The sequence below is a fragment of the Homo sapiens genome, chromosome 4, assembly GCF_000001405.40.
Source record: "Homo sapiens chromosome 4, GRCh38.p14 Primary Assembly".
NCBI classification, from domain to species: Eukaryota; Metazoa; Chordata; class Mammalia; order Primates; family Hominidae; genus Homo; species Homo sapiens.
The window spans coordinates 56,490,962-56,504,454 of NC_000004.12; the positions used below are offsets into that span (position 1 = coordinate 56,490,962).

General features: G+C 37.9%; 1 protein-coding gene across 4 annotated transcripts in view; it reads left to right on the forward strand.

Moving 5' to 3' along the window:
• The window catches only part of SRP72 (signal recognition particle 72), a 36,065-nt gene extending 23,345 nt beyond the window's left edge, over window positions 1-12,720 (forward strand). For 2 of the 4 annotated variants that reach the window (NM_006947.4, NM_001267722.2), the window contains 4 exons: window positions 470-607; window positions 4,396-4,433; window positions 9,575-9,734; window positions 10,723-12,720. In NM_006947.4, the coding sequence (NP_008878.3) occupies window positions 470-607; window positions 4,396-4,433; window positions 9,575-9,734; window positions 10,723-10,900 (514 nt within the window). In that variant the 3' untranslated portion in view covers window positions 10,901-12,720. Of the gene's footprint in view, window positions 1-469; window positions 608-2,987; window positions 4,434-9,574; window positions 9,735-10,722 lie in introns of those variants that run through there. The other 2 variants (NR_151856.2, XM_024454192.2) reach the window with 2 other exon arrangements.

Below are 13,493 nucleotides of genomic sequence, written 5' to 3' on the forward strand. Positions count from 1 at the left end.
ATGTTATTTTCAGATTCAACTACTTAGGTCACTTGCTTATCTCAAATAGTTACCTGATAAGCGAATTTGGTGCCCTTATTGAGCTTGGATCATATGTGCTACTCTAAATCAGAGTGTGTTCCCAAAACTGAGGTGGGTTGGTGGATGCTAAGCAGTCACAAGTCATAAACTTGATAGTTGTTTTGGAATAGAGTTTGTATTAAGCCACCACCTTGCTCCACATCACTGTGTTAAGGAATAGAGAATTAGATTATGACTCCTCATGTTCTCCTTTCAGAATACTGTATGTACTATATAATTGATATGACTTGTTATTGTATAGAAGATTTAGGAACATTTTTTGCTTTTGTTGAAGGTCATCAAGAAAAGACAGTCTTCCAGTGTCAATAGATACATTGGCAAACATATATATCTATATAAATGTGTGTGTTTGTGTATATTATGTTCCTGAACTCCTGTTCTATCACAGTCTTAGTAAACACTTGCCATCGTCAGATAGTATGTCTCTAAAAGTAGATGTTGAGGCTCTTGAAAATTCTGCTGGTGCTACATACATTCGGAAGAAGGGTGGAAAAGTTACTGGAGATAGTCAACCAAAGGAACAAGGGTAATATTTTTCATTGTAACGTTCTCTAATGCTGATTTTAAATTAGACAAGGAATAAAAAATACATTCTCATAGAAATTTCATGTGAATAAAGTTCTAGTTCTCTTTGTTCCTTTTCCATTTCTCTCACTGTGCCCAGCTCTTTGTCCTTATTTCCTTCCCTTTTCCCTCAGCCCAAAATTAACCTCTGGTATTAATTTAATCTATTATTCCAGAAGTTTTTCTTTGTGTTTACACACACAGATGGTTTACAAATATTTTCTTTAAATTGGTTTATTTATTACTATTTTTTTTTTATTTGTTTGTTTGTTGAGACAGAGTCTTGCTCTGTCTCCCAGGCTGGAGTACAGTGGCACAGTCTTGGCTCAGTGCAGCCTCCGCCTCCCGGGTTCAAGCAATTCTGCCTCAGCCTCCCGAGTAGCTGGGACTACAGGCTAATTTTTGTGCATTTAGTAGAGACAGGGTTTCACCCTTTTGACCAGGTTCGTCTTGAACTCCTGACCTCAAGTGATCTGCCCACCTCGGCCTCCCAAAGTGCTGGGCACCACGCCCAGTTATTTTTTACAGAAGGAGGATTGTATTGTACTTAGTGTTTCCCAACTTACTTTTATTTAATGAGTTTTAGAGATCTTTCCACGTACTAAAATGTGGACCTATTTCATCCTTTTTATGCATAACACTCCATAGGCTGGATGTGCCTTCCTTTACCTTTTAGTTATTGTTGTACATTTAGTACATCATTTAGTATATGATTTCTTTTGCTGATTTGAAGAAAAGGTTAGTCGGCTTCATCTACTTAAAAGAAGTCAGATTTTGACTTGTTTCTTCCATCGTCATCTTAAAAATATAGTTAGCAGAGACCTACAGTAAAATGTTTTAAGATTTTACTTTTGACTCAGGATGAATAGAGCATGGAAAAGATAAAACATTTCCTTAGCTTTGTGACTTTTATAAGTTTTTGCTACTTCCTCCTTTTTTGAATGCCTTTTGAAATCTAAATTTTTCCCTAACTTAAAAAAAACTCAGCAACAATGACTGATTTCTTTCTAACAAACTCTGCATTTCATAAAAAGCATTGTTGTTCTCATAATAACTTCCAAAACTTTTAATAAGGAATTGGAGTCTCAAAGAGGTTACATTGTTCCGAATTCCATTTCATCTTACAATTATAAATTCAGTCTGGGTTCTTAAATGGATTTTCAATTAAAGTATGTTTACTATTTTTTTCTTCCCCAAACAGGGTTGAGTAACTACTAAGGACACGCAGTTCCTTCTTTAGCCTGGCATAGTGGCTCTGTGTTCCAGTTACTGGGAGGCTGAGGCGGGATGATTGCCTGAGCCCAGGAGTTTGAGGCTCCAGTGAGCAGTGATTGCATCACTGCACCCCAGCCTGAGTGACAGAGCAAGACCCCCATCTCTAAAAATAATAAGTTTTTAAAAGTTTTTTTAAATAATCTTTGTTTCTTTTGTTTGTTTGTTTTCTTTTTTGAGACGGAGTCTTGCTCTGTTGCCCAGGCTGGAGTGCAGTGACTCAATCTCAGCTCACTGCAACCTCCGCCTCCTGGGTTCAAGCAATTCTCCTGCCTCAGCCTCCTGAGTAGCTGGGACTACAGGTGCCTGCCATCACGCCTGGCTAATTTTTGTATTTTTAGTAGACAGGGTTTCACCATGTCGATCAGGCTGGTCTTGAACTCCTGACCTCAGGTGATCCACCCGCCTCAGCCTCCCAAAGTGCTGGGATTACAGGCATGAGCCACCAAGCCTGGCTTCTTTCTCTTTTTTCTTAGACAATCATTAAGATATACATTGACTTTTTAAGCTTTTAAGTTTCAGCACAGTATTTTCATTATGCATTATTAATGCTCTTTATTTTATCTTATTAGAAGTTAGTATTTTGTTATACTAACTTGGATGCAAAGGTTTAGTTTCCTTTAACAATACACTATGTGATAGGTTTATGCTAGGTGTTGACCAGAAAATAAATCATGGTACTTGCTCTCAAAAGAACTTGAGCCCTGACATGGTGGTGGCTCATGCCTGTAATCCCAGCACTTTGGGAGGCCAAGGCAGGCGGATTACTTGAGGTCAGGAGTTCGAAACCAGCCTGGACAACATGGTGAAACCCCCATCTCTACTAAAAATACAAAAATTAGCCGGGCGTAGTGACACATGTCTATAATCCCAGCTATTTGGGAGGCTGAGGCAGGAGAATCACTTGAACCCAGGAGGTGGAGGTTGCAGTGAGCCAAGATCTCACCACTGCACTCCAGCCTGGGTGACCGAATGAGACTCTGTCTAAAAAAAAGGAACTTGAATCTAGCAGAAGGAAATATATTTAAACAGTAATTGCAATAAAGATTGCACCTGTTGTGATTGTACAGGGCATAGAGGAGTACACCGGAGGGAATAGTCACTTCTTCCTGAGGACAGTGGGAAGTTAGGAAAGGCTTCATGGAGAAGATGATTGTGTTGACTCTGAGGAAGATGAGGACGAGGTAGGCAAAGGGTGAGCTAAGGCAGAGAAATAAGAAATAGCAGAGAACCCTTGGGAAATTTTAGTATGGCTGTGGAGTATAATTTGTAGGGAGACAATTTAGAATACTATTGCACACTGGGTAAGAGATGAAACACTCAAGTAAGATACAGTATGTTGCATTTCTTATTTGGGGTATCCTGAGAGAACGTTCACAATTGAATGACTTGTAGAATGAATTTTTGGTAGGAATTGTTGTCTCATCTTTTTAGTTCACTGTTTCATATTTCTCGAGTTATATCACATAAGAATATATAGAGAGATGTATTTTTATGTTTTTCTCTTTTCACTAGAGCTTTCAGAATGCTTTTTTTTTTTTTTTGAGACGGAGTCTTGCTCCATCGCTCAGGCTGGAGTGCAGTGGCGCAATCTCGCTCACTGCAGCCTCTGCCTCCCTGGTTCAAGTGATTCTCCTGCCTCAGCCTCCCAAGTAGCTGAGATTACAGGCACGCACTGCCACACCCAACTAATTTTTGTATTTTTAGTAGAGACGGGGTTTTACTATGTTGTCCAGGCTGGTCTGGAACTCCTGACCTCAGGTGATCCACCTGCCTTGGCCTCCCATCGTGCTGGGATTACAGACGTGAGCCACTGTTCCCAGCCACTTTCAGAATGCTTGACAATTATTTTGAAGTGTTAATTTTTATGCCCTTTTTAGTGCCTTTTTTGGTCAATGTACTTAATATAGATTTTACTTACATAAAAAAATTAATAAACTCACAGGTTTAAAATACAAAAGATAAAAAAGTGTAAGAGTAAGTAAAAAGTCTTCCATCCGTGTCTACCCACCTCCCTCCCAGGGCCATAACCAACGTAACTTGTTTTGAATCTCCTTCCAGAGATATTCTTTGCATGTATCTTACCTACACATGTTCTTCTGGCAAAAAATTTATTCTCTAAAGTCTTGCCAAACATAGAGTAACTTACCAAGGGATTCTAGGTAGTCATGCTTGTGCAAATTACTTTTTACATAGACTTAATGTGTGCCACTGAAAAACTTTTTTCAGTGTAAACAGAATCTGTTTTCGAATTGTCACCTCTGTTTTCTAAACTACTTTCCAAAAATTATAGTATCTGAAGCTTAATTGACTTTAACCTGAATCAAATCTTAACTAATTTGTTAGCTTTGGTAAGCTGATACCAAGTCTTAAACCATGTTTATGATAAGTGCCCAACTAACTCTTATAGAGCACTTACTTAATGCTCTATAAATATTTTATCACAAAGATGGTAATGATTTTTTTTTCTCTTTGTAGACAGGGAGATTTGAAAAAGAAGAAAAAGAAAAAGAAGGGTAAGGCATTAAAAAAGTCTTTATAAATTTTCTCCAAAATAAATGTTTGATTTTAGCCCTATATAGAAATATTTGGACATAAATATACTGCCCTCCCTTGTATCTTTGAAAACTTTTTATCTTGACTATAGCTAACATTTAATTTTATTCTATTACTTTAAAGATCGCAATTCACTAGTTTGCCTAAATTCAAATCGTTGCTCCCTCTTTTACTCTGTGACTGTGGACAGGCTATTTAATATACCTGCCAGAGTTTTTCATATGTAAAATGGAATATGATAGTATATATCTTGTAGTATTAGATACTACATGTAAAGTTCTTAGAGTGGTGCCTGGCACAAAAGTAAGCACTTACACATTTTGATGTTTCTGCTACACATAACTACAAAATTCCATCAAACTAGCTTAAGAAAATTTACTGTTTATAAAGTTGGCAGTCTAGAGGAATGTTAGCATCAAGGTTGGTTGACTCAGTATTTTTACCTCTTTGTTCTGCTCTCCACAAAACAGAATCCCATTAGAGTCATATGATGTATATTGTAAACAGTCAGGGCCACATACTTGTCATTTATATCCATCACAACAAAGAAGCCCTCTCCAGACTTGGCAAGTATTTCTCATTAATCTGATTGGGCCAAGCAGGTCAGTGTCCAGCCTTGAATTATTAACCAGGGAAATAATGTGCATTGATTGGCTTGGAGTGTGGCTTTAATCTCTGGAAAAATTGGGTGGCATTACCGTGCTTGATTTTACCTAGTCAGATGTTATCCTTGGAGCCACCCAAGTTCCTGAGGTTTTGAGGAATCTATCATATAAATCAGGTTATTTCTTGATTTTGCTCTCTGCCGTCTTAGGATACAGGTTTCCCAAGGCTTAGCTCAGTTTATTATTACTCCTCCATCTGTTTTCCAGCTACCAAAATTTTATTGACAATATCTTTTCTTCTGTCTTCCTTTAATGTGTTTTATTACCATTTTAGTGGAGTTTGAGGAAGGTACACAAGCTAATGTTTGTATCCATTTCACTATCTTTAACTGGAAGTCTTATTGGTTCTTTTGTCACAGTACTTGAAAATTGGCAAACATTTAATATTTGTTTTGTGCATTAGTAATACTGCAAGGAAACAGCTGATGACTGTAGGTGGTAATAACCTAAAATTTTACTTTCTTTTCTATTTTTATAGTTTCCAGATGAATATTTTTTTAAATTTACAAGTGATATATGCTCATTCTAAAAACAAAGGTAGTTGTTATCTATCATTATAGAGTGGCCTAAAGAGTGTAAAATTCCCTGCCCAAAATTCATGCTCCCGGCTGGGCATGGTGGCTCACGCCTGTAATCCCAGCACTTTGGGAGGCCAAGGTGGGTGGATCATTTGAGGTCAGGAGTTCGAGACCAGCCTGGCCAACCTGGTGAAACCCCATCTCTAGTACAAATATAAAAATTAGCCGAGCAGTACTCATGCGTGCCTGTAATCCCAGCTACTTGGGAGGCTGAGGCAGGAGAATCGCCTGAACCCGGGAGGCCAAGGTTGCAGTGAGTTGAGATTGCGTCACGGCACTCCAGCCTGGTGACAGAGTGAGACCCTCTCCCTGCCCCCAAAAAAAAGCATGCTCCCAGAGACAATTACTTAACTTTTTTATGTGTGTTTATATGTATATACAGAATCAAACGTATCATTAGGTACTCAAAGTTTTTATAAAATTGTTTTGAACATAATATAATTTGTTTGTTTTAATCTTCTACTTTAGACTGAATTGTGAAGAACATTTTTCCAAATTAATAGATGCACTTCACTTTATTTATTTTTTATTTTATTTTATTTATTTATTTTTTTTTTTTTGAGACCGCGTCTTGCTCTGTTGCCCAGGCTGGAGTGCAGTGGCGCTATCTCGGCTCACTGCAAGCTCCACCTCCCAGGTTCATGCCATTCTCCTGCCTCAGCCTCCCAAGTAGCTGGGACTGCAGGCGTACCCCACCACGCCCAGCTAATTTTTTGTATTTTTAGTAGAGACGGGGTTTCACCATGTTAGCTAGGATGGTCTCGATCTCCTCACCTCGTGATCTGCCCACCTCGGCCTCCCAAAGTGCTGGGATTACAGGCGTGAGCCACTGCGCCCGGCCTGCACTTCAGTTTTTAACCAATTGAATAGCTTGCTATAGTTTGGGCATATTATAATGTAATCATCTTCATTGATAGATATTTAAGTTATTTTGCCATCTTAAAGAATATCAGCCCACCCATACCTTGCCCTATCCATCTTTAAAAAAAAAGAAAAGGAGTATCACCGAGAATATTCTGTTCTTAACTTTGTATCTCTTGGGTTTCTGCAGGATAAATTTCTAGAAGTCTATAAATTTCTAATGGTACTGCCAGATTAAATTGCTTTCCACAAAGGCTATACCAGTATACACTTCCCCTAGTATAGTGTTGGTGAGTGCTTCTCACCATTTCACCAACACTGGGTATTACTGCAAGTCTGATAGAGTTTTTTACCCTTCTCATTTTTAATTAGTGAGGGTGAACATCTGTTCAGAAGATGAATGACTTTCCTTTCTCCTAGCCTACCTTAATTATAACTGAGTCCATTTTTCTTTGAGTGGTTTACATAGTGATCAGCAAGAATTCTTTCTATATTAAGGATTTTTTTCCACTCCTCTATTATATAGTTTGTATTTTAAATTTTTTCTTAGAAATATATTTTTTACTAAATGAAGATTTTAACATTTTTTTATAGATGTATCTGTGAAGTTTTTTTCTTTATGGTCTCTGAATTTTTTTGTCATGCTGAGAAATGAGGCCTTTTCCCCCTTCAATAAAATTCAACACCCCTTCATGCTAAAAACTCTCAATAAACTACGTATTGATGGAATGTATCTCAAAATAATAATAACTATTTATGACAAGCCCACAGCCAATATCATACTGAATGAGCAAAAGCTGGAAGCATTCCCTTTGAAAACCGGCACAAGACAAGGATGCCCTCTCTCACCACTCCCATTCAACATAATGTTGGAAGTTCTGGCCAGGGCAATCAGGCAAGAGAAAGAAATAAAGGATATTCAAACAAAAAGGAAGTCAGGTTGTCTCTGTTTGCAGATGACATGATTGTATATTTAGAAAACCCCATCGTCTCAGCCCAAAATCTCCTTAAGCTGATAAGCAACTTCAGCAAAGTCTCAGGACACAAAATCAATGTGCAAAAATCACAAGCTTTCCTGTACACCAATAGTAGACAAGCAGAGAGCCAAATCATGAGTGAACTCCCGTTCACAATTGCTACAAAAGAATAAAATACCTAGGCATACAACTAACAAGGGATGTGAAGGACCTCTTCAAGGAGAACTACAAACCACTGCTCAAGGAAATGAGAGAGGACACAAATGGAAGAACATTCCATGCTCATGGATAGGAAGAATCAATATCGTGAAAATGGCCATACTGCCTAAAGTAATTTATAGATTCAATGCTATCTCCATCAAGCTGCCATTGACTTTCTTCACAGAATTAGAAAAAAACTACTTTAAATTTCATATGGAACCAAAAAAGAACCCATATAGCCAAGACAGTCCTAAGCAGAGAACAAAGCTGGACGCATCATGCTACCTGACTTCAAACTATTGTTACAAGGCTACAGTAACCAAAACAGAATGGTACGGGTACCAAAACAGATCTGTAGACCAATGGAACAGAATAGAGGCCTCAGAAATAACACCACACATCTACAACCATCTGATCTTTGACAAACCTGACAAAAGCAATGGGGAAAGGATTCTAGCCATATGCAGAAAACAAACTGGACCCCTTCCTTACACCTTATACAAAAATTAACTCAAGATGGATTAAAGACTTAAACATAAGACCTAAAACCATAAAAACCCTAGAAGAAAACCTAGGCAATACCATTCAGGACATAGGCATGGGCAAGAACTTCATGACTAAAACCCCAAAAGCAATGGCAACAAAAGCCAAAACTGACAAATGGGATCTAATTAAACTAAAGAGCTTCTGCACAGCAAAAGAAGCTATCATCAGAGTAAACAGCCAACTTACAGAATGGGAGAAAATTTTTGCAGTCCATCTGACAAAGGGCTAATATCCAGAATCAACAAAGAACTTCAACAAATTTACAAGAAAAAACCCCATCAAAAAGTGGGCAAAGGATATGAACAGACACTTCTCAAAACTGCCATTTATGTGGCCAAGAAACATGAAAAAAAGCTCATCATCACTGGTGATTAGAGAAATGCAAATCAAAACAACAATGAAATACCATCTCATACCAGTTAGAATGGCGATCATTAAAAAGTCAGGAAACAACAGATGCTGGAGAGGATGTGGAGAAATAGGAACACTTTAACATTGTTGGTGGGAGTGTAAATTAGTTTAGCCATTGTGGAAGACAGTGTGGCAATTCCTCAAGGACCTAGAACCAGAAATACCATTTAACCCAGCAGTCGCATTACTGGATATATACCCAAAGGATTATAAATCATTCTGCTATAAAGACACATGCACACTTATGTTTATTGCAGCAGTATTCACATTAGCAAAGATTGGAACCAACCCAAATGCCCATCAATGATAGAGTGGATAAAGAAGATGTGGCACATAGACACCATCAATACTATGCAGCCATAAAAAACGATGAGTTCATATCCTTTGCAGGGACATGGATGAAGCTTTAAAACCATCAGTCTCAGCAAACTAACACAGGAACAGAAAACCAAACACCGCGTGTTCTCACTCATAAGTGGGAGTTGAACAATGAGAACACATGGACACAGGGAGGGGAATATCACACACCAGGCCTGTCGGGGGGCGGTGGGAGGCTAGGGGAGGGATAGCATTGGGAGAAATACCTAATGTAGATGACGGGTTGATGGGTGCAGCAAACCACCATGGCACATGTATACCTATGTAACAAACCTGCACGTTCTGCGCATGTATCCCAGAACTTAAAGTATAATAATTTAAAAAAAAAGACCATTTCGCCTGCTAGATTATACAAACTAAACTTTCTCAAATAAATTCATTTCCATTTTAATGTTATTTATTCCCAGGCTTAGAGACATCGTTTAAACAAACTATCTTGAAAATATTATGACACATCTCTCATTTCTTTATAATCGTTATGCAGGAAAATTGCCTAAGAATTATGACCCAAAAGTTACCCCAGATCCAGAAAGATGGCTGCCAATGCGAGAACGTTCTTACTACCGGGGAAGAAAGAAGGGTAAAAAGAAGGATCAGATTGGAAAAGGGACCCAGGGAGCAACTGCAGGAGCTTCATCTGAACTGTAAGTTATTGCTCCACAATTGAGGGCACTTAGAACATACGTTGTTTCTAGATTGACTCAAGGCTATTAGTGAGAATTTGTTAATATAAAGTATGAGAAATGTGATGTATCTTTGATAAATGTTTATACTACACTTATGCAAATGAAAGAAAATATATTGCCTTTTTAGACTAGTTTTTCCTTTAGTTTTTACAATTCAGTCAAATAGTTTTAAGTATTTACAATATAATCAAATATATATTGTGAAATATATATAGTAAAAACTATTATAAAAACTAAAAGTCTCAAGGCAACTAAATACACTGAGTCATTCAACTAAATAAATATCTAGATAAACAGATGTAAATAAATAATATGACTAGAAAGAAGTGTTAGAAGTATTAATACGTTTTACATGGTGGATGACAGGTTATTTTAAAAAATTTTTTCTGGCCGGGCGCAGTGGCTCACGCCTGTAATCCCAGCACTTTGGGAGGCCAAAGCAGGCAGATCATTTGAGGTTGCTAGTTCGAGAATAGCTTGGCCAATATGGTGAAACCCTGTCTCTACTAAAAATACAAAAATTAGCCGGGTGTGGTAGTGCGCACCTGTAATCCCAGCTACTCGGGTGGTTGAGGCAGGAGAATCACGTGAACCCAGAAGGATCACGTGAACCCAGGAGGTGGATGGAGGTTGCAGTGAGCTGAGATGGTGCCACTGCATTCCAGCCTGAGGGACAGAGCAAGACTCTGTCTCAAAAAAATAAAATTTTTTATTTTCTACGCTTTCTAAAACTTGGCATGTGTACCATGTTTTACTTTTCTTCAATAAAAACAGTGAAAATGTTATTCAAAAGAAAAGTCGATAGGGAGTTGGGGAGCTTACCTTAAAAGAAGTAGAAAATGTGTGGGAGATTGTTAAGTGTGATAAGTAAAACCCATGTACATACATTTTTATACTCTTCCTTCGTTGAATATATGAGTGACCAAAAATGATCTGATGATTTCAGGGATGCCAGTAAAACTGTGAGCAGCCCACCCACCTCCCCAAGACCTGGCAGTGCTGCAACAGTATCTGCCTCTACAAGTAACATCATACCCCCAAGACACCAGAAACCTGCAGGGGCTCCAGCAACAAAAAAGAAACAGCAACAGAAAAAGAAGAAAGGTGGAAAAGGTGGCTGGTGATGAGAATATTCTTGTTGCAGGCTGTTTTTAAACTAGTGTCAGTGACACTAGGAATATAATAAAGGTAACACAGCAAGAAGCACAGAACTACTCCCTCTTCATCTCCATATTTTCATAATTTCTTGTGTTTCAAATAGGGAAACATCTTCCTCAAAGTCTGCCTAGTGAGATATGGCCTACTGGTTGCCTCATAGCTTTGTACAGATTATGAGGACTGAAAATAATTGGGCATTTACCCATCTTGGTATCTGTTGTATCCTTTATCTGTGTGTGCTGATTTGATCTTTTTTCAGTTTCACATACCTTATCTAAGGTTTCCCAGGATTTAAACAGAAACTACTTCTATGATTTCAGCTGGAGTCTGAAGATACTTGTTTCTGTTCAAGTCCCACTTTAAATTATGTCTTAGGAGACTGAAAGTGGAATCTTCTGAGCATTCCTAAATATCTGCTTAGAAATATCATGTGATAAAGAGGGACCTTCTTAATACACTGATGTTCTTCACTAAATGGATGGCCACAAGAAAAATAAAGTAAATGTCTTAAATAATTTAACCATAAATTTTCTGTCATGTGATACTGGAATATGGGATACTTTTCATGTTTATATATATATATATATGTATATATATATACATATATATATATATATAAACATGAAATATATATATATGGCTCCTTTGTGCCCCATGTCATTTTCAGATTATGGTAGCATGCTGATACAGCACCATGAAAGAACTCAAGGAAAATATATCAATGTAAGAAGTTCACTCTTAGACCCAGTGTTCTGAGGTCACATGGGTTTGGACTGTCTCAATCAGAAAGATTAATGACTGTTATCAAGAACATGAACATTGGCTTCCTCCATAGAGAAGAAATCAGTATCTGAGTTGCATACCAGGCAGTATTAAAATCTAACAGGTCTGTTTGGCCCATTGATAGATACTCAAATGGTGTCTCCTTCTGGTTATGGATTTTGACCATTGATTACCTTTCTCAATGTAATGAAGTATTTTACAGTCAATTTGTGGTGTAAATGTTGCTCTTGTCTTTCCTTGCTTACAAACTACTTTCACATTGAACAGCTGTGAGACAGACATATTGAGATGCCTGCCCTTGTTAGTATTCATTTTATGCTGCCCAAGATATCATTTAATTTAGACTTAACAAGTATTTCCTTGTGATTATATTACTCTGTCCTTGTTAATAAAGTGCTGCTGTGTTTGACTCTGAACATACTACCAAAACTTCTTCAAAGAGTTTTTTATGAAAGACTTTCCTCCTTTACAAGAAAGAAATGGGGTGCTGCCTTTCTGTTTAGTAAAAGCAGAATTTGCAGTGGCATCTAAAGAGATCTTTTTTAAATAAAAATTATGTATTGTGGCATAATCCTTTTTTTGAGCTCTACAGAGAACAGTCTTTTGGTAATAGTGGCAGGTATTTATTCCTTCTGAATATATACCCCATTATAGGAATAACTGTTACTTATTTAGGATTCCATCATTGAAAATTTTGACCCAAGGCACAGCAGTGAAATTTATAGTTCTCAATTTAGTTGTCATTATTGACAGGCATTGGTATTATTAGTCATTGCTAAGCAACTAAAACTTCATCAGTTCAAATAAGTTTTAATTGTCAAATGAAGTATAAACACATGAACTTTCTAGAAATATTTCCTCTTTTGGATAGGTCTTTAACCAGTTCATATATATACTTTGTCAAATATATGGATGTGTATGTGTACATTTATAAGAACCAGTATGGATACATCCATTCACTGTGGTACATTTTAAAATAAAATATTTTAGCAGTGAATATGGATTAAGGTGTTTTGGGTGTTGGCATTTTATGGAGGACTTCCTGGTTAGTATAACCAAGAATTTTCTTTTAAGCTGAGTATCAAAATTGTGTGTACTGTCCCTCTTAGCAAACCCATAAAACTAATCTAATGGGATTGAGAGAACCCCGTGTAAACTTACTGAAAATTCATCTTGGTGTGTGTATAAACAGAAGTAAACCTTTGAAAAAGTCATTAAGCATAGCAATTCCAATGCTATTGGGAACAGCCAACCTTAAATATCATTGCATCACTCAAGCCTTCTGGAACCTGCTATTCATTGTTCCTTACAAGTCTATTTGAAACAGATACAATGAAGGAAAATAAGTTTATTACATTGAAAAATAATTGTGGCCGGGCACGGTGGCTCGCACCTGTAATCCCAGCACTTTGGGAGGCCGAGGCGGGCAGATCACCTCAGGTCAGAAGTTCGAGACCAGCCTGACCAACGTGGAGAAACCCCATCTCTACTAAAAATACAAAATTAGCCAGGCATGGTGGCTCATGCCTGTAATCCCAGCTACGTGCGAGGCTGAGGCAAGAGAATCGCTTGAACCTGGGAGGTAGAGGTTGCAGTGAGCTGAGATCGGACCACTGCACTCCAGCCTGGGCAACAAGAGTGAAACTCCGTCTCAAAAAATAATTGTGCTGGACGGGTGCGGTGGCTCATGCCTGTAATCCCAGCACTTTGGGAGGCCCAATCAGGCGGATTACCTGAAGTCAGGAGTTCGAGACCAGCCTGGCCAACATGGTGAAA